The following is a 24874-nucleotide window of genomic DNA, read 5'->3' as shown; positions in this document are numbered from 1 at the left end:
ACACCTGGTATTCTCCTTGGAGACAGAACGGACAGCCACCAGGCTGTTGTCTAATTGAGTCACCTTGCAAAAGAGAGGAGATGAGAGCCTTACTGCAGGAAGAGGGATGTTCACATCCCAAAATGAGTATCCTCTGCCCTTGATTAAGCCCTCCACATCGTTTTCCCCAGCAACCTCTCCCTCACCATTCTAGGGCTGGGGTTCCACTTCAGAATTTCCTCCAAGTTAGCCACGCTGCCAGATGGAAGAACTAAAAATCAGGACCTACCTTTGGCTTTCCCCCTCCTCCTCTCCCATATCGCTCCTGTGAGAGGTGACAGCGTGATGGCGGCCCTCGCAGCCCTGGCTCGCTCTCGGTGCCCCCTTGGCCTCGGCGCCCATTCTGGCCGCACTTGAGGAGCCCTTCAGCCCGCCGCTGCACCGTGGGAGACCTTCTCTGGGCTGGCCGAGGCCGGAGCTGGCTCCCTCGGCTTGTGGGGAGGTGTGGAGGGAGAGGCACGGGCGGGAACCGGGGCTGCGCGTGGCGCTTGCGGGCCAGCTAGAGTTCCGGGTGGGCGTGGGCTTGGCGGCCCCGCACTCGGAGCGGCCGGCCAGCCCTGCCGCCCCGGGCAGTGAGGGGCTTAGCATCCAGGCCAGCAGCTGCGGAGGGTGCGCCCGGTCCCCCAGCAGTGCTGGCCCACCGGCGCTGCGCTCGATTTCTCGCCCGGCCTTAGCTGCCTCCCCGCTGGGCAGGGCTTGGGACCTGCAGCCCGCCATAACTGAGTCTCCCCCGCCCCGCCGTGGGCTCCTGCGCGGCCTGAGCCTCCCGGAGGAGCACCGCCGACCGCCTAAGGGCTGAGGAGTGCGGGCGCACGGCGGGAGACTAGCGGGCAGCTCCACCTGTGGCACTGTGCAAGATCCACTGGGTGAGGCCAGCTGGGCTCCTGAGTCTAGTGGGGACTTGGAAAACCTTTGTGTCTAGCTAAGGGATTGTGAGTGCACCAATCAGCACTCTGTGTCTAGCTCAAGGTTTGTAAACACCAATCAGCACCCTGTGTCTAGTTTGGGGTTTGTGGATGCACCAATGGGCACTCTGTATCTAGCTAATCTGGTGGGGACTTGGAGAATCTTTATGTCTAGCTAAGGGATTGTGAATGCACCAATGGGCACTCTGTGTCTAGCTCAAGGTTTGTAAATGCAACAATGAGCGCTTTGTGTCTAGCTAATCTGGTGGGGACTTGGAGAATCTTTATGTCTAGCTAAGGGGTTGTGAATGCACCAATTGGCACTCTGCATCTAGCTCAAGGTTTGTAAATGCACCAATCAGCACCCTGTGCCTAGCTCAGGGTTTGTAAATACACCAATGGACACTCTGTATCTAGCTAATCTAGTGGGGATGTGGATAACTTTTGTGTCTAGCTCAGGGATTGTGAACACACCAATCGGCACCCTGTCAAAATGGACCAATCAGCTCTCTGTAAAACAGACCAATCGGCTCTCTGTAAAATGGACCAATCAGCAGGATGTGGGTGGGGCCAGATAAGATAATAAAAGCAGGCTGCGTGAGCCAACAGTGGCAACTTGTTCGGGTATCCTTCCCCAGTGTGGAAGCTTTAGTTCTTTTGCTCTTTGCAATGAATCTTGCTGCTGCTCACTCTTTGGGTCCACGCTGCGTTTACACTGTGTTTATGAGCTGTAACACTCACCACAAAGGTCTGCAGCTTCACTCCTGAAGCCAGCAAAGACCACGAACCCACCAGGAAGAAGGAACAACTCCAGACACGCAGCCTTAAGAGCTGTAACACTCACTGCCAAGGTCTTCAGCTTCACTCCTGAGCCAGCCAGACCATGAACCCACCAGAAGGAAAAAACTCGGAACACATCCCAACATCAGAAGGAACAAACTCTGGACATGCCGCCTTTAAGAACTGTAACAACGCAAGGGTCCGCGGCTTTATTCTTGAAGTCAGTAAGACCAAGAACCCAATTCCGGACACGTTTGGACCGTGAGTCCCTTTCTTGGGTTGGCTCAATGTTTTATATGTAAGACAGCAACAGTGTCAGTGTTCTAGTTTATCTGGTTTAAGGTTTATTACCCATCTGAGTGGGCCTGGTCTCCACTGCACTTCACTTTTGCACTTTCCACAGGCAAATCTCAGCAGCCTGCTAAGATCTGCCTGCAAGTGGACGTAAGCTGTAAGCTAGTCCTTTCCAGAGTTACATAATACATTACGTTACTTAAAATCTTAGTTTTTCTCTAAAATTTTGTATTTAAAGCTCTATAATCCCACATGTTGGCTAGATCACAAAAGTTAAACATTTCTTTTTGAAGGGCTTCCTGGGGTACTCAAATCCCCAAAAAGAATTAGGAATTTCCGATATACCATAGTGCATGCTATTATTTGGCCATGTATCCCCTGCACAGTTTCTCATGGAAATGCACTTTGCAAAAAGGCTAATTCCAGGTCTGTCTGGTGGCTGTTCTTACTTTAAACTTTGCTGGAACTTTACTGTCTCATGAAGCTTTTCCTAATGCATCACTGTCCCACTTCCCTTAGTCCCATATGCAATTGATTAATACTCCCCTTGTCTTCTCACACTACTTTCTGTAAATATTTGTAACACAGTCTCTCTAACACTTTGGTGCCCTTAATTGATTTTGTGTTTACTCCTCTTTAGTTTACTATAGGTCCCTTCAGAGGAACTTTGCTTTATATGCAAGGTTCAAGGGAAGCTCATGGAAATTCCTGGTGCCTGCACACTGTATGGCACGTGGTAGAGGTTTAGTGCAGAAAGGGAGCAAGAGAGGAAGGAAGAAGAGGGCAGGGCTGGCTTATTTTGGAAAGATCATAGTCCCAGTTCCACAATTCGACTTTCGACCAATCACACTCTCTCTGAACCTCATTTCCTCTGCAGCCAAACAAGGCTAAAATATTAGCCCTGACTTCCTGCTAGGACTGATGGAAGGTTCTAATGAGATCATCGATGCAAACTCAACTTTAGATAACTAGAGAGTGCCAAGCCAATGTAAGATAGCGTCATTGTTAGCATCAGGCTGAAATATTCCCTTCCTGCCTTCGCCAAAAAGGCAAGGGCACCATGCCCACAAGTGAGATAGGCGAATACACCCTCCATAATCTTTTAGCTAGGAAGATTCTCCCAGTCCCCAAAATAATGCCTCTTTTTGAATGCAAAATGCTTCAATTTCTATAACACAAGATAGATTTTTAAATTCATGTTAGATATCATTTTAAATACTTTTAAAAGTGCAAATTATTGGTATCAATTTCCTCACTGAACGAAATTTCAAAAGGGGAGAATTCTGAGCCTTGAAGTGAAAAGGCTGGATCCAGTGGCTTACACCTGTAATCCCAGCACTTTGGGAGGCCAAGGCGGTCAGATCACTTGAGGTCAGGAGTTCGAGACCAGCCTGGCCAACATGGTGAAACCCTGTCTCTACTAAAAATACAAAAAAAATGAGCTGAGTGTGGTGGCATGCACCTGTAATCCCAGCTACTCAGGAGGCTGAGGCAGGAGAATCGCTCGAATATGGGATGCAGAAGTTAAAATGAGCCAAGATCACGCCACTGCACTCAAGCCTGGGCAACAGAATTTTATATATATATATATGTGTGTATGTGTGTGTGTGTGTATAGATATATAGCTTATATAGTTTTTTTATAACTATATATGTGGTAATGTTTATTTTTGAGACAGGGTTTTGCTATGTCACCCAGGCTGGAGAGGTGGAGTGCATTGGCACAGTCACGGCTCACTGCAGCCTCAATCTCCCAGATTTAAGCGATCCTCCTACCTCAGCCTCCCGGTAGTTGGGACCACAGGTGCATGCCATTATACCTGGATAATTTTTTTTTTTTTTTTTTTTTTGGGTAGAGACAAAGTCTTCCTATGTTGCCCAGGCTGATCTCAAACTTCTGGGTTCAAGGGATCCTGCCACCTCAGCTTCCCACACTGATGGGATTATAGGCATGAGCCACTGCACCCTGCCTAGGTAAACTTTTTTATTTAAGACATCAATGGTCGTTCATGACTGCTAATTTCCACTTAGTGTGTTCATAAACTACACCCCTACACACACACAACCTACACATTCATTGGTATTTGAATAAATAGTTAATTATCTTTGAACTTAAAAAAAAGAATTTTATTTAGGGAAATAAAATTCAGATTAAACTAACTTTTGTTGAATACCTACACAATGGAAAATATACCAAACATTCTCAAACAACCTGTAAAGATATTTGTTGCCACCCAAAAAATTCCAGCTGTGGGGTAAATCGAAGCTACCAAATTGGAAAAGCAGACACGAGAACTACCCCTGAATACAACTGGGAAAGAATAACAAATACATTTTTTAAAACTAAGAAATAAGGGGCTTTTGTATAGAAACAGGAATCGTATTCACTTTGTAACTCTAGAGGAGTGTTTTGAGGTTGTGGCTTGTCATTTGATTATTTAAATGCAAGTCCTTTTGTAATTATTTCTATTGTTAATAAATTCCATCCATCCAGCTTGGATGAGGTCATCAACACGTTAATGTGAATTTAGATTTTGAAAGAGAGAACTAGACAGCAGTCACAATCAGGCGCCCGGATTTCTCCCAATTACTGCCCCCAATTATTTCCACACCTATTGCTGACATGTTTAATCTCCTTCTCCTGGCCTAACCGACAGCTCGCATGGAGGAAGAATGCTAGCTAATGCACTGCTCAGCAGAGTGTAGGTCCAATTTAAATAATTAGAAGCCCATTTCATTTCCCCTCTCCTTGTAAGCGCACTTGAAAGGAAGGAAGGTGCATGCCCAGGCTTGATGCCTATAACTTCTTCGAGAATAACTTATCGACCTTCTTAAAGCCCCTTTCCTAACCAGCAATCTCTGTCTGTCCCCAAGGATACTGAGGATAAATTAAAGCTATTGGATGATAATCAATAAGCAAGGGTCATCTCTATTGCCTGGCTTAAAGGACTTTGATCTAGTAAATCATCAGTTACTGCCACCTATATTAGCCTTCCTATTAACCATGTGACCTGAATGAGTCCTCTTATTTTCTAAGTAGAATGAGACAGGAGATGCACAGCAGCTTCTGCTAATGAAGTGAGGCTGAGGTTCACTTGGGCTTGGGGCCTGTCTCCCATTTCTCCACAAAATGACTTCCCTCCGCTCCTCAAGTGTTTGGAAATCCTTTTCCACTTGGCAAAGACCTGAGTCGTAATTTTGTTGCTTGACATAAAGATGTTCATATATGTCCCTTTCATTGATTGTAGGCCCACAAGGGCAAGACTTCATGAGGTTCTGGTGACCAAGCATGCTCATCGCTGTCCTGGGACTGCTCCAAGTGCAATTCAAAGATGTTTGTTACAAATGAAGATCCTCTCCTCAGAGATCCTCATTCCCTGCATTTGAGATGGGCCCTGGGAACCTTCATTATTAACTCCTGAATTTCACTTGGACCAACACGGTGATGGTGACAAGCCCAGGTGGGGGCTGCATTTCAGGAATCTGCATTTTTGATAAGTTGTCTCGGTGATTCCTATGTACATTGAAGTATAAGAACCTCTATTCTAGAAAAGATATAAGCAAATAAACAGCTGCCTTGTATTAGTAAGTAAGGATAAAATAGAGGCTGGTTAAAGCAACAAGCAATTAGCTGCAGAACAGGAAAGAAGAGAAGGACATCAGGGATTCATTGAGGTACCCTTTAAGCTGCCTACGAAGGTGACCAGAAGGTGTCAGGCAAGAATGGGAGGGAAAATGTTCCAGACAAAAGAAACACATGAGCCAAGGCTTATGTAATAGGAGTTCAGAGTTTCTCCGGGAATTTGTAAACAATCCAATGAATTGGGACTTGAGGTGCACGCTAAGGTTCAAGGTGTGGTGGGAATTGAAGCTGAGTAGGAAGTGAGGATTAAGTCACAGGGGTATTTGAATATTGCTCTTCAGACAATAGTGAACATAGCTGTTCCAATATAATATATATAATATATTCCAATAATATATAATATAAGAATGAATTTATATTAACAGAAATTAGGAGGGATAGAACAGCCCTCTGTCCAGCAATATGCCCTCTGTTGCTCTGAACAAATAAAAAGGATACAAAAATGATTCAACATTCAAAAGACTTTTGCCTACTGGCTACTTACTATTTATTGAATCCCATATTGATTGAATGCCTACTATATGCCTGACACAAGAGTCAGCTCAGGAGAAATAATACTAAGTCACAAAGACATGGTCTGCCTTTCATTGCAGGTTCATGGTTTAACATTTACTATGTGGCAGGTGGTAGACTAACGGATAAGAAAAAAATGGTATCCCAAGGAATTTACAGTGTAAAAGAGGATTAAGTCAAATATACCTTCACACAGAAACACATACATGCATCTGTGCATGTCATCATAAACCACAGGAAAGGCAGGAATGAAAGATGATGGGATTTGGTGGAGAAAGACTGCATGAGAGGGGCCTTACAGCACAGATAAGGTTTTTGACAAAGGGAAGATGGAGCGATACAGTATTTTAATCCAAGGGAAAGAAAGAAAGCAGCTGAAGAGAATAGAGAATAAAAACTGAGGATAAGGATAACAATGACAATGAAGAGAATGAAGATTATGGCAATGACTAAGTGCCAGACACTGACGTAGGACAGACATTCCTATCACTTACCCTCGGAGTAACCCTTCAAAGCAGGTGATATTACCCTTGTTTCATATATAAGAAAAAAAAAACTCTTCAGTGGGTTAAACAACTTCTAAAGATGACAAAGCAAGTAAGTGAAAGAATCTAGACTCATTCATGTTCATTCATTCAATTTACTAAATATATATTTATTGTGCAGCTACTATATGACAGGCAGCTCTGTCTTAAACCAAGGTTCCTATAATTTTTCTCTGCAACACCTTAAAAATTAAGCAAAATTAGTTCTAGTAAATGATTGCATGAACAAGAAGATGAGGATTATAAGAAAGTGATATTTATAGCATGTTCTATGTCTTTCAAAGCATTTTTACATACATTATACCATTTAAGACAAACATCTTTACAACAAAGATGAAAAAAATGTCTAATGCCTGGTAAATATTGTGTATTAGATGTTGAATCTTTCATCTTTATTTTGATTCTTAAAACCTTCTATTCTTAATGGTATTTTTAATAGTTCTTTTTCATTTTTTTATTTTAATCAAAATATTCTACTGTTTTTAAGAGGAAAAAGAATAAAAGTGGTTCATACTCCAATATTTTAAAATAAAATTCTGTTTTAAAATAAAATATTCTTAGGGAGGCTGATTTGAGTAATAGACTCCCATCCTACTGCTTATTCTACTGATATCCAGGTATCCCATTAATATTTCTTAATATTTTATTGTAAAGTAATTTTAAATTTATAAAAATATTACAAAAATAATACAGAGTTCTAGTATTTTCTTTATTCAGCTTCCCCTAATTTGGACAACTGACAACTTGGGTGAGATCACAAGACAAGCTGAGCCAGTTTCTCCGTATAGGGTACCAGTCCAGGTGGTGCCAGTTCGTTCATCAGAATGAAGGGTCTGGAAAATATCTCAAACACCAATTTTAAGTTTTACAGTAGTGATGGTATCTATAGGAGCACTCGAGGAGTTTACAAATTTCATGTCTTCTGGCTACAATGGCTTGATATCTTCTAACTATGCTTGCATCTCAGCAGAGTTCATGCCCCTCCCATAATCCTAATCCTGCGGCCTTTTATTAGTGTTATAAAGGTGATTTCTTTTTTGAGATGGAGTCTCATTCTGTCGCCCAGCCTGTAGTGCAGTGGCACGATCTCAGTTCACTGAAACCTCCGCCCTCTGGGTTCAAGCGATTCTCCTGCCTCAGCCTCCCGAGTAGCTGGGATTACAGGCGCCTGCCGCCAGGCCCAGCTAATTTTTGTATTTTTAGTAGAGATGGGGTTTCACCCTGTGAGCCAGGCTGGTCTCGAACTCTTGACCTCTGGTGATCCACCCACCTCGGCCTCCCAAAGTGCTGGGATTACAGGCATGAGCCACTGTGCCCAGCCAATAAAGATGTTTTCAAACCCAAGAAATAAGGGGGTAGTTTTGGAAATTGCTATTATCCTTCTTGATTTAAGCTTAAACTATAAAGTTCTCCCAAAGTTAGCTTGGCCTATGCCCAGGAATGAACAAGAACAGCTTAGAGGTTAGAAGCAAGTTGGAGTCAGCTTTGTCAGATTTTTCTTACTGTCATAATTTTGCAAAAGCAGTTTGAATATTATTGTTACCTATTATGTTGCTCAAATTGTCCACTTTAGCTGTTGGGAGCTCTTTTAGGATGGCTTCTTTTTGACACTGCCTCATCTTTTTTATTATATTTTTAGAACTTCTTTACTTTCTGATACTGTAAGATGCTCCAGGCTCATTTTGTATTTTTGTGCCCCAGCCTTAGAATCAATCATTTCTCAAACAAGGAACCATAATTTTGAAACCACCTTTGGCAAAAAATTATAACTAAGAAAATTATGACAGTGAAAGAGATCTGACCTAACTGACTCCATCTTGCTTCTCACCTCCAAGTGGTCCTTTTTCATTCCTGGGCACAGACTGAATTAACTTTGGGAGGAACTTAACTTTGAAACAAAGATGGTAACAGTCCTTTCCCAAAGCAAACCCCCTTCCTGCCTGGGGACAAAACTGCCTTTGCAGAATTAACAAATTAGCCACAAGAGTAGAAATTGTGGTTTAGGAATCATGTGGCTAGAAGCTGCAAGATTCTGAACCTCCCCAAATTGCTCCTTGGGATAACATCACTATTGTAAAATCTAAGATCAGTGCTTGAGATATTTTGCAGACCCTGTGCTTGATGGATCAGCTGGTACCACCCAGATCAATAAACTGGCTTATCTAGTCTTGTGACTCCCACCCAAGAACTGGCTCAGTGCAGGAGAAGAGCTTCAACTCCCTATGATTTTATCTCCAACCCAACCAATCAGCACTCTCCACTTTCCAACTCCCTATCCACCTCCCTATCCACCAAATTGGCCTTAAAAACTCTGATCCCTAACCAGGCGTAGTGGCTCATGCCTATAATCCTAGCACTTTGGGAGGCTGGCGGGTGGGGGCAGGGGAGCGGGGGCGGATCATGAGGTCAGGAGTTCGAGACCAGCCTGGCCAACACAGTGAAACCTCGTCTCTACTAAAAATACAAAAATTAGCCTGGTGTGATGGCACATGCTTGTAGTCCCAGCTACTTGGAGGCTTAGGCGGGAGAATCTCTTGAACCCAGGAGGCAGAGGTTGCAGTGAGCTGAGACTGTGCCATTGCACTCCAGCCCTGGGTGACAGAGTGAGACTCCATCTCAAAAAAAAAATCTCCAATCCCTGAGTTTTCAGGGACACTGATTTGAGTAATAACAAACCTCTGGTCTCCTGTACAGCTGGCTCTGCATGAATTAAACTCTTTTTCTCTTGCAGTTCCCCCGTCTTGATAAATCAGCTCTTGTCTGTGCAACAGGCAAGAAGAACCTGTCTGGTGGTTACAATTTCTTTTGTCAAAGAATGAGATTTAGAAACCAAGATATGAGTCCTCATTGCTACAGAGTATCATTGTTCCCTGGACGTTTAAGCAGACATAGTAGGAAAATATATGTTATATACTAATTCATGCATATATACCCATTTATATTTATTTATCAACTTATATATGTACATATTAGAAACCATGAGTACATACTGATACTTCCAATTCCATTCCAGCACTACAAGGTCGATTCTGTCCCCTTTTCTTAGATATAATTTCTTTTTCCAACAGTGAGAAACTTGGCTTTTGTTATCTACAATATAGTCACTTTTTTGTTCAGTCCTAGAATAGTGTTTCACTACAAAATTGCTAAACAACACTGACAAAAAGATGTATTAACTAGAGTACAGTATGCATGTGCCTTTGAGAGGTGAAGCCAGCTGAGCTTCTGGGTCAGATGGGGACTTGGAGAACTTTTGTGTCTAGCTAAAGGATTGTAAATGCACCAATAAGCATTCTGTAAAATCGCACTAATCAGCACTCTGTGTCTAGCTAAAGGATTGTAAACACACCAATCAGCACTCTGTAAAATGGACCAATCAGCAGGATGTGGGTGGGGCCGAATAAGGGAATAAAAGCTGGCCACCCGAGCCAGCAGCGGCAACATGCTCGGGTCCCCTTCCACGTTGTGGCTTCGTTCTTTTGCTCCTCACAATAAATCTTGCTGCTGCTTACGCTTTGGGTCCACACTACCTTTATGAGCTGTAACATTCACTGTGAAAGTCTGCAGCTTCACTCCTGAAGTCAGTGAGACCACGAACCCACCAGAAGGAAGAAACTCTGGACACATCTGAGCATCTGAAGGAACAAACTCCAGACACACCATCTTTAAGAACTGTAACACCGCGAGGGTCCGTGGCTTCATTCTTAAAGTCAACAAGACCAAGAACCCACCGGAAGGAACCTATTCCGGACACACCTTCTTTCCATTTTAGCCTTATAGCATCCAGTCAAAATGCTGTTTCCCAAAGTTACCTAAGTTAGTTCATGTTTTCTGCATCCCCTTGAAAGAAATCAAAATATTTTATCCTAAAATGTATTTCTTTGACATCTTTTGAGATGACTGCCACAGGGCCAGCCAACTGAAGTTGTCCTGCAAAGCTGTCTTCTGTGGTGGAAATTTTCAACTGTAGAGAATTTCCATTAATCCAGTCAGCTCTTCTCCAATCCGGATCTAAGAAAGATTAACTAAGTCTGACACCTTTAAGGGTCTGAAAGAAACATTTACCATCTATTATCTCTAATGACTCCTACCTGTGAAGTTTCATCTGCATAACAAGACGACCTTTGCTAGCCAAGACTCTTCGTTTCTCTCTCCTATAACCTGTCTTATGGCTAAAATTTGATTTACTTTCATAACTTGTTCTTGGCCATGCCCTGAGTACACATTCTTTCTGTAAACTTAAAATGATGTATAAGCTTCTGTATCTCACTGGGGGGTGATATGGTTTGGCTCTGTGTTTGGCACCCAAATCTTATCTGGAATTGTAATCCCCAGGTGTTGAGGGAGGGACTTGGTGGAAGGTGATTAGATCATGGGGGCAGTTCCCCCATGCTGTTCTCGTGATAGGGAGTGTGTTCTCACAAGATCTGATTGTTTTATAAGGGCCTCTTTCCCACTTTGCACGCATGCATGCTGTTTCTCCTGCCACCTTGTGAAGATGGTGCTTGCTTGCCTTTCACCTCCCACCATGATTGTAAGTTTACTGAGGCCTCCCAGCCATACGAAACTGTGAGTCAATTAAACCGCTTTCCTTTGTAAATTACCCAGTCTCAGGGAAGTTTTTTATAGCAGTGTGAAAACGGACTAATACAAGGGGGTTAGGTCTTCAGTCTAAAGGCTCCCATGTATACATGCTAAATAAATTTGTATGCCTTTTCTCTTAATTTTTTTTTTTAAGACCCAGTCTTGCTCTGTCACTTGGGCTGGAGTGCAGTGGCATGACTACAGCTCACTACATCTTCAACCTCCTGGGCTCGAGCAATCCTCAGCCACCGGAGTAGCTGGGACGACAGGGGCATGCCACCATGCCCAACTTTATTATTGTTGTGTTTTTTTTTAGAGACAGGGTTTCACCATGTTTCCCAGGCTGGTCTTGAACTCATAAGCTCAAGCAATCCGCCCTCCTCAGCCTCCCGAAGTGATAGGACTACAGGCATGAGCCACCATGCCCTGCCCTTTTGTTACCGGCAGTGAACCTCAATTCTTGCCCCTCAGAAGAAAGAATTTGACCAAAGGGCATAAGACAGAGTGAGAGATGGTGGCAAGAGCAGAGGTGAAAGTTTATTATTAGAAAGCTTTAGACCAAGAATGAAAGGAAGTACACTTGGAAGAGGGCCGACCACTTGAGAGATCAAGTGCACACTTTGACTTTTGACTTGGGGTTTTACATGTTGGCATTTTCCAGGGTCTGCATTACTCTTCCCCTGATTCTTCTTTTGGGGTGGGCTGTTTGTTTGCATGGTGGCCTGCCAGCACTTGGGGCGGGGCATATGTTTACTGGAGTTGTATGCATGCTCACTTGAGGCATTCTTCCCTTACCAGTGTTATGTTCTTAGAAAGTCATATACCAGTTGAACTCTGCCATTTTCCCTCTTAATCTGCATCTGTGAGCCCACTCACCCAATTCCTGAGATCTTATTGGGAAGCTGCTGATCAGCAGTTTCAGGTGTTTCTATCAGTTGGGAGACTGCCTTTCCCAGTGCTGGCTGCAACCACTTATTATTTGAGAAATTAACAACTGCCTGAACATCACCTGATGGTTGCCTGTAGTTCCTGGGAAATGGGGGCCTCTCCTGCCCTGCTCATGTCTGCCTGACTACCTACTGTAATACTTTTCTCATATTAATCTGCCTTTTGCAAGTTGATTGTTTTTGGGGGGGCAAATCTTCAGAGGGTCAAGGGGAACCCTTCACCCTTCAGTGTGGTTATGTTGTTCATTTGTAATACTGAAACCACCCCCACAAGGTGGACAGAAATTGCACACTGGATTCTGGACAGAAATATAGTTATAACTAGAATAATTTGCATCCACGTTTTTCCTATAGACAGGATTTTTCCTACAGACATTAGAATCATAGGCTTTTGGTTAAAGATTGCTTAAGATGTTTCTCAGACCCTGAATTCCAGCAACCAGTTTGAAGACCCTCACAGAGGAGGAAGATCAGCATGAGAATACAGCTTCTTCATCTCCCTGTGCCATGACTTTACCCTGTACCCTTTTTTTTTTCCTTTCTTTTCTTTTTTTTTTTTTTTTTTTTTTGAGACAGAGTTTCGCTCTTGTTGCCCAGGCTGGGGTGCAATGGTGCAATCTCAGCTCACCGCAACCTCCACCTCCTGAGTTCAAGTGACTCTCCTGCCTCAGCCTCCTGAGTAACTGCGATTACATTCACGCGCCACCACGCCGGGCTATTTTTGTATTTTTAGTAGAGATGGGGTTTCTCCATGTTGGTCAGGCTGGTCTTGAACTCCCAACCTCAGGTGATCCTCCCACCTCAGCTTCCCAAAGTGCTGGGATTACAGGCATGAGCCACCGTGCCCAGCCTACCCTGTACTCTTTAACCAATCAACAATCTCCATACTTTGGCCCACTCCAAAGCCCTTAAAGACCCTAGCCCCAAACTCATCAGGGAGATGGATTTGAGGTCTTTTCCCATCTCTTTGTTCTGCGACCTCATGATCAAACATCTTTCTCTGCTGCAAATCCAGTGTCTCAGTATACTGACTTGCTGTGTGCAACAGGCAATGAAAATATTACAGTTACAATACAATTAGTTTTATTTGTTTCTGCTTGTATCTTTTTGGGGTCTGTCCCCCTAACTCCACATCCTGCTTGATGTATTTATTTTGGGAGTTATGTAAAGCATTATTCATTCCTAATTTCCTTTTAATCAATTTAGAGATACAGACCCCTGCTGAGCACCTACCATGTGCCAGGGACAGCCTGGGTATTTTTATTACCTATTATATGACTATAAAAACATAATATGACATTTTATATGTCAATACCTGGGTTATAAAGCTTTATGCCAAGATTTCAAAACTGATTTACTTTAATCCCTGAAAGGTGACGCCCCTTTTGTATTCTTTTATCCCCTTTCTTAATGGTTCTCCAACTCTGTGGATCTATAGATTCTTTGGCTCTACTTATATAAATAGCCTAAAAACATATCAGGAATGACGAGGCTTTCTCATGAAACTGTTCTTTCTCATGAAACACTAAAGGAATGTTACCTGTTTTAGTTTTTTAATTAACAATCATTTTTTATAATTCACACTCTAAAATGACAATGTTGACACAATATTTGTAAATACAAACAAAGACTGAGCACTCTTGAGGGCTCATTCATTTCAATTTGGGCTTTTAGAAGACACAGTTCTAAGTGTTTACAAGGACTTTTTGAAAGGCAGCCATGAGTTGGTCACTGGCCCTGCCTGGCATAGGCCCCTGTCCTCACATAGGACACAAGTGAGTTGGGAGAACTGTAAAGTATAGTGGATAATGTGCAATTTTTAGGTCAAAAGAGCTGTGCACCCTTAGGTAAATTTCTTCTTGTCTCTGAGTTGCAATTTCTTCATTTGTTAAGAAGGATACATTATATAAGTTACATATGTTATTTATATCATTTATATAAATATATATCATTTATGTATCTACTACACATTATATACATTATTTATCTCCCTTTACAATGAGGTAATAGAATCATTGTGATAATGAAATTATATGTGCCAAAATATTTTTAAGTTTTCAGCACATATAAAGTACTCAGAAAATGTCAGCTATTTAGTACCATTATAATTTCATTGCTATTTAAAACATAAATAACAGTAGCATATGTCATTCAATAATCTATAGTGTTTATTTGGTAAAAAAAAAAAAACAGATTCATCATCTGGGATGGAGAAGAGACAGAGAAAAAGAATGTTTATTAGACCTCATAACAATCTAATCCTGATAATAACCCATTAAGGTAGATATTAATAAACTCATCTGTAAAACAAGGATAAGTAACCTGCCCAAGGTCATGCAACTACTAAGTGACAAGGCTAAGTACTAATCTAGATCTCACTATTAAAAAGGGATACTGGGCAGTGAGTTAGCTCTTTTAGAAGTAGATATGCTTGGCTGGGCATGGTGGCTCATGCCTGTAATCCTAGCACTCTGGGAGGCTGAAGTAGGTGGATCACCTGAGGTCAGGGGTTTGAGACCAGCCTGGCCAACATGGCAAAACCCCATCTCTACTAAAAATACAAAAATTATCCAGGCGTGGTGGCGAGCGCCTATATTCCCAGCTATTTGGGAGGCTAAGGTGGGAGAATCACTTGAACCCTCGGGGGCAGAGGTTGCAGTGAGCTGAGATCATGCCACTGCACTCCAGACTGGACAAAAAAGCAAAACTCTGTCTCCAAAAAAAAAAAAAAAAAAAAAAAAAAAGGAGATGCTTCGGCTTTAGAAAAATGTCCTGAATTTTTGTATGGAGAACAGTGTCCAACAGGCGCCCAGAATAGAACCCGACAATATGGCAGAATCACTCCAGAGCATAGCGTATGTACAACTGGGCAAAAGAGACTTAGAACATGACCTAGTTCCTGAGTAGGAACATTCATTCATAGGGTCCTCTTAGGTAAGTCAATTCCACATTCTAGATTTTTCAGTTCAGAATTCATCCCACATATTCTGTGTCATTATCACCATGTGCATTTTTGGGCTAGGTTACCATTTTCACAGATCCAAGATATTACAGAAGAATTCCTACAAGTCTAGACTTGGCATCTCAAACTGGCAACTTGTCTTTCAAAGCCCGCAAACCCATTTTCTTCAGGAGACGTTACAAAATCAAATCTGAATGCTTCTTAATGTTGCATGTGGGTTTCCAGGCTCCTCCCGCCCCCTGAGTCACCATTCCTCCTTATTACCTTTTAGACCAACCCTCTTTATCCTTCATCCATATACCGTATGATGCTTGGCCCCTAAGAGTGTTTATGTTAATCAGGACCCACTCCAGACTGATTAAATGAGAATATCTGGATTTGGGGCCAGGATAGAGATTTTAAAGGCTGCCCTTGCCCAGGTGTTTCTAATGAACAACCAATGTTAGTCACAGCTCTAGCCCCTGCTCTCAATCCATACATCAATCTTTCTTTCTATTGTATTCTTCTCTTTGTAGTGAGCTGAATAGTGTCTGCCCCCCTCCAACAAATTAATGTTCATTTGGAACCTTAGACTGTGACCTTATTTAGAAATAGTCTTTTTTTTTTCTTTTGAGACAAGTCTTGCTCTGTTGCCCAGGCTGGAGTGCAGTGGGGTGATCTGGGCTCACTGCAACCTCTGCCTCACGGGTTCAAGTGATTCTCATGCCTTGGCCTCCTGAGTAGCTGGGATTACAGGTGTGTACCACCACGCCCGGCTAATTTTTGTATTTTTAGTAGAGACAGGGTTTCACCATGTTGCCCAGGCTGGTCTTGAACTCCTGACCTCAGGTGATCTGCCTGCCTTAGCCTCCCAAAGTGCTAGGATTACAGGTGTGAGCCACCGCACCTGGCCAGAAACAGTTTTGGGTTTTTTTAGATATTATTAGGCAAGAGTGTCAAAATGAAGTGTTCATGAATTTAAGGTGAGCCCTAAATCTATAGACTGGTGCATATGAGAAGAGAAGACACAAGAAAACACACATGGAAGAGAGTGATGAAGGCGAAGACCGGAGTGATGTAGCTCCAAGCCACAGAATGTCAGAGATCGCCAGGAGCCACCTCCGGGATAAGGCAAGGAAGGATTCTTTCCTAGAGCCTTCTGAGAGAGCACGACCCCACTGACACCTTAACTTTAGACTTCTAGCCTCCAGAATCGCAAGAGAATAAATTTCTGTTGTTTTAAGCCACCCAATTTGTGGTAATTTGTTAGGGCAGCCCTGGGAAACTAAGACGCCCTAAGACAAACTCACCTAATGTCTGCTGAGAATTGCTCAGATATTCTAAATGTCCGTGGATGTCTCATGCTTCCAGAATTAATTTGAAAATATTCTAACACTTAGGGGCACCAAAGGGGCTTTAGCAAGGAGGTAACTGTTCACTTGAGACACAGTCAGGGAGTCATGGACTCTAGGGTCTTCCAGGGGCCCATGGAGCCAGTGAGCTGGCCCAAATCCAGGGTTCCCTAATGCATCTTCTCATCACTTCATTTCCTTTCCATTAGTGGCGGTGGAGGACATGACTTTTATCTTTAGTGCCAAAGACACTAAGAGAATGAACTCTTCCTGGTAACTAATTAAGGTTTTATTGCCTTCTCTCCCATCATCTCCTCTCTTTTCTATTGTTTCTGTGCAGGTCCCACTTTCTGTAGTTGTTCTGGTTTTGACTTCTGTTTTCTCTTCCTTTCAGCAGATGGAAAGGCAGCTCAACATCTGAGAAGCCAGTCTTACTCCCTGCAGGCAACAGCTGCTTCCAGAAAACAGCCCTGTAATTGTCACCATCAAATCCATATATTTTCAAGGGAAGTTGGTCCCACACCAGAAGTCATAGCTGAATCACCAGCAGTAATGCAGGGACATACTGGTTGCTTCTTGGCTTTTCCAACCCTCTGCCATGCTTGAACATCTTTGTGAAAGTCCAGGAACAACAAATAAGCTTAAGGATAAAAGCCCCCCAGCCATACCACCACAACCCCCTGTTAAACTCATGCATGACTTGTAGAATCCTTTCCCCACTGTCACTAAAAGGCTTTTTACATTTTCCCTCCTTAAAACACCAGTTTACTGAATGGAACGCTATTTCCTAAATATTTGCTACACACACAGCTGTATATAGAGTTCCCAGGAGATGACTTTTTTCTTGTCATCTTTTAAAACTACAGTTATATGTTGATTTAATTATCTTCTCTCTAGATTACTTCACCAAAGTACAGTTCCTACAGGAAGATAATGATCTGACCTAACCTACTATTGGCTGAAGGTGAGAGAATTCTGGCATTGAGCTATATTTTAAATGTCTGTCTTCCTTATTAATAGAGTTGGTCCAGAATGAAAACAGCAAAAAGGATGAAGAACCCAGTGGGGAAGCGTAATTCTAACAGCTCGGCCATGTGAATGTTTCCTACTGCTAATACTTCACAGAAATGTCTCAGACCAAATGTCTTTACCTATGTGGTCCCCAGGCTTTTCTGTACGTTCGTATTACTTAAGGAGCTTTTACAAATCCTGATGCCCAGGTGATCCCCCACCCCCAACCCCAGAGCAATTAGATGAGAATGCCTAGGCATAGGAGCTGGGTATCCATATTTGTTACAGATGTGCAGTTGGTTTCAATATGCAGCAAAGTTTTGGACACAGAATAGTTACTAAAATGACCAAATATTTAGATTTTACCATGGCTCTAAAACTCTGCAAAACAGAAATGAGATTATCTCCCCCTCCCTAACAGAAATAGATTTTCAAAGACAAGGGACTTTGAGATTCTTAGAGAAAGATATTATGTAAATACAGGCTATTATTATTGCAAGTTGGCAGGTGTCTGGGACATATATTTCATTCTCTTTAATCATCCAAATGAGGCCAAATGTCCCAGGGATGTGGAATCAGCCCATCATTATGCCTAATGGGTACCAAGGATCCAAATGCAGGTGTTATGAGAGGCAGCAGGAGCAATCATTGAGCTCACTTCTACCACTGGGACAATCTTCAGCTGCACACTTTATTGGAGGCAAACTGCCCCCCTCCAAGATCCAGAATCTGCTGCTATTCACTTCTGGCTCAGCAATGTGCATTGCAGAGCAAGCGGCCTTTTCTTCACTGACTGATAATATGAAAAGGAATAGACCTTATCCTTTTCTCTGAGGCACATCTAGCCTCATCATGCAAAATGAGAGTTTAATATTAATCCACTCATCTGAGTCTAATTCAACATAAAACATACCCCAATCTAACGATAAAGCCTAGAACTGCTGATATACCATACAGTAACCTCCTGAGTCTTGTCTTTTCTGCAGCAGTAACTATAGCAATAAAAGGTTGGGGGAGAGTATAAATATTTAAGGACCAAAATAAATCTTTAAACGTTGAACAACCAGGTTATGTGATGGGTTAAACTGGCGACTGGTCCCGACATGGCAGCTCGTCGAATAATGATAGAAACAGCAAAACCTTGGCCATTCCTTTCCTATCAGTGCAGCATTAGTGCATGTCAGCTTTGTAATAACTTAACTAGCTAGAGCTAGCAGATGGTGTTTTTATGGCCCTATATAAACAGTATTAAGTCATTTTAACTCTTTCTCCATAACTCAGGTTTTCAATCTAGGCTGCAGTTGTCCACCTCTTATCCTCTGAGATGCTCATGAGGAAGAGTACTAACATTTATTGAGCACCCGTTATATACCAGCCACTTCTCATAGGGATTTATTAACTCCAATTTACAGAGAACAGCTACTAGGGGCAGAGCCAAGATTTGAACTGATTGTTTGATTCCATTGCTGTGGTTCCTCCCACTATTAGCATATCATTCTGAACCTCTGTTTTCATTGATTAAATGCACAGGAAGGAGAAAAGCAGCTGAAGATGTCTGTTGAGTGATTACCCTCATAATCCGTGACTAAGAACATCCAAATCAGCATGGCTTCTTCCTGTCTGAAATTATTACTACTTAGGGTTTTTCACGTGTTATTTCATTTATTGATTATTCTGTTTTAAACTTGCAAGACGTATTGTCTCTTCAGAAATAAAACTTTATCACTTGCTTCATCAATTCAATTAATTTCACAATGCATTGATTAAACTCCTACGTAAGCATTTCAGCATTTTAAAACATTTTTAAAAAGGTAAAATCAGGACTGTCATGTGAATGATATGCCAAAGGTTTTATTCAACTCATTAATTAATGAAGGAACAAGTGAGGTATATATAGCCATTTTAATAAACAAATGTTAGAATAAGATTGCTGGGTTACATATGAAATTGACTAATGTCTTACCATAACCTTTGGGGTTAGCACTTCCAAGAGACAGGTATTATTTGCATCTCTACTGGACAAAATTAACAAATTAACCTATGCCCCTACAGAATTGTAAAATAGTCCAGTCAATATAAAGTCAAGCCAAGACCAGGGCTTAACCATGCTGTAATCCCTTTTGTTTATTTCCAAGTTTCAATAATTTTCCTGACATTGTTTAGACACTGAAGTAGAAGATGTATGCATAGACAGTGACTGGAAAAACGTAGTCACTGTCTGAAAAGCCTTACCTCAAAGTTTCAGACTACACAACTTGGAAACATTCTTTTTTTTTTTTTTTTTTTGAGACAGAGTCTCACTCTGTCACCCAGGCTGGAGTGCAATGGCGTGATCTCTGCTCACTGCAACCTCCGCCTCCTGGGTTCAAGCGATCCTCCTGCCTCAGCCCCCCAGTAGCTGGGACTACAGGCACCCGCCACCATGCCCAGCTAATTTTTGTATTTTTAGTAGAGACATGGTTTCACCATGTTGGCCAGGCTGGTCTCGAACTCCTGAGCTCAGGTGATCCACCCACCTCAGCCTTTCAAAGTGCTGGGATTACAGGCATGAGCCACCACCCCCGGCCAGAAACATTTATATCTTAAAAGGCACCTATAAGTTATCAGGTAATGTAGTATAAATTGTATGCATTTATGCTAAAATAAATCAAAGGGGAGAGGTAGTATAAGCTGGGCTAAGGAAGGAAGTCATCTTGGAAAAGGAAGTCGTCTTCAGAGCTTGGTAGAACTTATAGGGTGTAGTTTAATGAAGATGAAAAAGAAGAAGTATCCAAATAGGAAGAACAGCATGACATTAAAAGTAGGCACAGAGATAGAGCTATACAACATTGGTTCTCAGCCATGGCAGCAAATTGCTTTCACCTGGGGAGCTTTTTAAACTCCTGATCCCCAAGCTGCACCCATACTAATTAAATTAGAATCTCCAGGGATGGCACAAAAGCCACAGTAGTTGCTGCAGCTCCCCAGGTGATTTCAATGGGCATTTGCAGCTACTCAAGTGTGGCACATGGACTGACAACCACTAGCAGTACCTAGAACTTTGTTAGATCTGCAGACAGCAGCACCCGCTCCCTGACCTACTCAGTCAGAATCCTGTACATCAACAAGATCTGCCGGTGATTAGTAGACACATCAAAATTTGATAAGCTGCAAGATACTTTGCAGACAGTTCCCACCATCCCTAAACATAAGAATCACCTGGGGCACTTGAGTGACCTGCAACTTCCCAGACCCATCCCTTAGAGAACTGGAGTTGTAAAACAGACCCGTGGATAGAAAGTCAAGCCAAGACCAGGGCTTAAATATGCTGTAATCTCTTTTGTTTATTTCTAAGTTTGGATAATTTTCCTGACATTGTTTAGACACTGAAGTAGAAGATGTATGTATAGACTGTGACTGGAAAAACCTAGCCACTGTCTGCAAAGCTGTACAGTAAAGGGCTTTGAGACATCCTGAGATAGAGCCAAGAGAAGATGAGATTTATCAAGCACTTACATGTTAGTCTTATCAAAGAAGTTTGAGAAACATTGAAAAGAGTTCTCCATTTATGGGACCAGTAAGTTGATAGCCTTGACTATCAGACTAACAGAAGTTTGGCTTGATCTGATGATGGTTCTCAGCTCTGGTTATATATAGAATCACCTGGGGAAGCTGTTCAAAAATAAACGTATCTGGATCCCACTCACAAAGACTGTTTGGTACGGTATGGAACTTCTGTTTGTTTGTTTTTGTTTGGTAGTTGTTTGTTTTGAGACGGCGTTTCACTCTGTCACCCAAACTGGAGTGCAATGGCGTGATCTCAGCTCACTGCAACCTCCACCTCCCGGGTTCAAGTGATTCTACTGCCTCACCCTCCCAAATAGCTGGGATTACAGGAATGCACCATCATGCTCGGCTAATTTTTGTAGTTTTAGTAGAGACGGGGTTTCACCATGTTGGCCAGGCTGGTCTCAAACTCCTGACCTCAGGTGATCCGCCCACCTTGGCCTTCCAAAGTGCTGGGATTACAGGTGTGAGCCACTGCGCCCAGCCTGTCTGTTCTTAATGTACAGTCAGGATTGAAAAAACCACTGTTTTAAGAAGCTACCTCCCCTTGAAGGAGGAAAAAAAAGTGATTAAATGTTATTTTATAACATGTTAACTGACAAAATATTGATTAGGTGTTAGAAAAATCTAAAGATACCTACCAGTTAGATGATGGCAATCAAGCAGTGGAGATGGTTGTTGGAATGGAGAGGAAAGGATGAGTCTGTGAGAACAAAGGTCAGAAGAAGTTAGTAACTAATTAGAACTATGAAATGGAGGAAATATGGAGGGTTATTGGAATATGTCTACAACTTTATGAGGAGAAAGAGGAGTTGGAATAGAATCAGCCCCACACTGGGAAATTGGGAAAAGGAATCAGTTTAACGGATAAATCTATTGAGTCAGTTTTAGACTGTACATTAAGAACAGACAGGCTGGGCGCGGTGGCTCACACCTGTAATCCCAGCACTTTGGAAGGCCGAGGTGGGCGGATCACCTGAGGTCAGGAATTCGAGACCAGCCTGGCCAACATGGTGAAAACTTCCCATTCACATGTTCTCACTCATAAGTGGGAGTTAAACAATGAGAACACATGGACACAGGGAGGGGAACATCACACACCGGGGCCTGTCGCGGGGTGGGGGGCAAGGGGAGGGAAAACATTAGGACAAATACCTAATGCACACAGGGCTAAAAACCTAGATGACGGGTTGATAAGTGCCACAAACCACCACAGCACACGTATACCTATGTAACAAACCTGCACGTTCTGCACAGGTATCCCAGAAGTTAAAGTAAAATTTAAAAAAATTAAAAATAAAACAAACACAGAAAGTATAAGGGTATGGTGTAAGCCATGAGTAAAGCATTGCTGTGGTAATATATTATCACTAAATATGAAGTAAAATAAAGTCATATAGCCTAGGCAACATGAAATAGGCTCCAGCAGAAAATCCAAAATAATGACCAGGGCTACAAGGGGTAGGAGAGGGTAGCTCTGCCTATATGAAGAGAGGCAAGGAGCTGAGGAAGATTGCTTTGGTACAGGGCAAATCAGGGCAGGACAGCATTAAAAACAAAAAAAAAAGAAATAGTGGTTGAAGCACTATTTCATGTTGAAGCATTAAAGCATGAGTGAAAATAAAGCCTAACAAGCTAAGAACAAACACAGAGGTTATTCAGAGCTTTTGATAGCAATGGAGACAGCCAACTTCACTTGTGTTTGGTAGAGACTCTAAATAAGAAGTAGGAAAACTTTATAGTGAAAGAAAGGGAAAGCTTAGGTATGCCTTCACTGGAGGTGCTGGCACAGAGAAGCTGAAGGCTGTTGACTAGAAGAGGGGTATTCTGTGTGACTGATTGTTTTGGGGAGCATATTTGGCTTTCTCTGGTTGGTTCCGAGTTGAAGGTAGGACTGAAAATTCGGGAAGCTGACAGTCAAGCTGACCAAGTCCTGATCATTCTGGGCCAATTGCAGAAGTTGTGGGTCAGAGTTCTATGGACATGTGGGGTCTGAACATTTTCCACTTGTATGTAATATCCTACACTATCAGGTTTTTAAAAAAATGATTTTAAAAATAAACCAGGTTGTTTAAATGACTTTTTCACCTAGCTCAATGCATTCAATCCTGTTTGGCCACATCCACATCCATACTTATCCCTTGAGATCTTTTCAGATATTGTCTCATTTGGATTCTACTTTAGAAAAGGGAAACTGTTTTAAAATATAGGTGTGATTATTATTTAGGTATAGCAAAACCAACAGATCAGGACACGACTGCCATTGAAGAGATAGTTTGTCATACTCACAGATCCCAAGACGAGAGGAGAACACACAGAGAAGCACAAGTTATTGTGGTTTCTGCTGCAAGGCACAGGTAAGACCGGGTAAACGATTTAGGATTGGCTAATTTGAATAATTTCAGTGGCTTCTGGCATAGGGGCTGTCCCTAGCTGTCTGGTATCTGGCCCCTGCAGTGATTAGGGCAGGGGATTGTGACACCGAGTGTTGAAGGCGCAACAGAGGAGGTGGTTGGAAGTGTGGGCTCTGGATTCGTCGGTTTGCATGTAAAAGGGTTGCTCCAGATGCTCAAGGTCAAATTGTTTACTATGTCTAGAAAGTGGCTAGTCCTGGAAGGGGCAGTCCCCCCAGGGTCAGCAAGGCCTCAGGGGTCAAAGCATCAAGAATACAAAAAATAAAAGGCATCATGAATGGTAGATGCACCTGAGAGCAGTAACTTAAGACGAAGAATGTGTGTTTGAAGTTCTAAGCTAAAAAAATCCAGAAGTGGCCAACCTGGAGACTCATTCCTTATCTATGAGGAACATCTGGACCCTGGCCCGTCCCATGGAATGTGGACTGCAGCAGGGATCGAGGCCCTTTATTGTGGGTTGAATGAGGGTTGCCACATGGAGGTTGCTAGGGGGAGGCTGCTAAGCGAACATGCTGTATAAACTGCATACTTTTTACAAGTCGTTACAGTTCTCCTGCCCAGCCCAACACCTCTGTACCATTCCCGTATGTAAGTTCCCAATAAGCCCTATGTCTCATTCTCTGGCTCCAGGTCTCTTCTTCAGCCTCTTGAACCTAATGCCAGTTCCCATTGAAGTTAATAGGGAACTATTGACACATCATTAATACACAACACATCATGTATTAATGCACAACACATCATTAATACAGAAAGTATAATAAGAAATGGAAATTCACAGCCCCCACTCTCTATAAACTGCTAACATCACAGTAGTTATGATAGCTACTAGAGTTACTTTATGTGACATTTCAAATGACAAGAGCATTTGACAAAACCGTGAATCATTCCATCATCCTGGCTTTGCTGCCTGGGGCATTAATAGAAATACTGAAGCATAAAGACCACCAGCCTCCACCCTATCAAGGCTTTAGCACAAGGTCTTTCATTTCTGAGCCTTCCCATTTTAGAATAAACTAAGGACAGATTTCTATTTTCCCTGGTAACTGGAACACTTGAGGGTCAATTAAATGACTGCCCATTCATCATACCCTCCCTTTTCATGGTGCCTGAGCTGCTGAAAACATTGTTTTGTCTTGTTTCTGCAACACCCCAAGGATTTCCCATTGAGGCAACACTTCCTTTGTTCTTTGTAAGTGAAAGTTGGGATTAGCACAGATCATTTACCTGAAGCTCACTTTTTTATACCTTTAATGCTTAGGAGATTAGCATTCCTCTTAGAAAAACTCCCTATTGGCCGGGTGCGGTGGCTCACGCCTGTAATCCCAGCACTTTGGGAGGCCGAGGCAGGCAGATCACAAGGT

General features: G+C 42.5%; 1 long non-coding RNA gene across 1 annotated transcript, besides 1 other annotated feature; it reads left to right on the top strand.

The window, feature by feature from the left end:
- The first annotated feature begins 1576 nt into the window (after positions 1-1576).
- Positions 1577-19291, top strand: LINC01467 (long intergenic non-protein coding RNA 1467). The gene is made up of 3 exons (NR_110074.1): positions 1577-1985; positions 16937-17506; positions 19084-19291. It is a non-coding gene; the product is annotated as a long intergenic non-protein coding RNA 1467 (long non-coding RNA).
- Positions 10546-11321: an enhancer, noted in NCBI's record as "OCT4-NANOG-H3K27ac hESC enhancer chr14:82079661-82080436 (GRCh37/hg19 assembly coordinates)". NCBI's record gives its function as "activates a minimal SCP1, AML or CMV promoter by ChIP-STARR-seq in naive H9 embryonic stem cells {active_cell/tissue: H9 hESC(naive)}" and the evidence as "EXISTENCE:reporter gene assay evidence [ECO:0000049][PMID:30033119]".
- Positions 19292-24874: the final 5583 nt, after the last annotated feature.

Source organism: Homo sapiens, chromosome 14 (genome assembly GCF_000001405.40).
Source record: "Homo sapiens chromosome 14, GRCh38.p14 Primary Assembly".
Classification (NCBI taxonomy): domain Eukaryota; kingdom Metazoa; phylum Chordata; class Mammalia; order Primates; family Hominidae; genus Homo; species Homo sapiens.
This window is presented reverse-complemented; position numbering and strand designations above follow the sequence as displayed.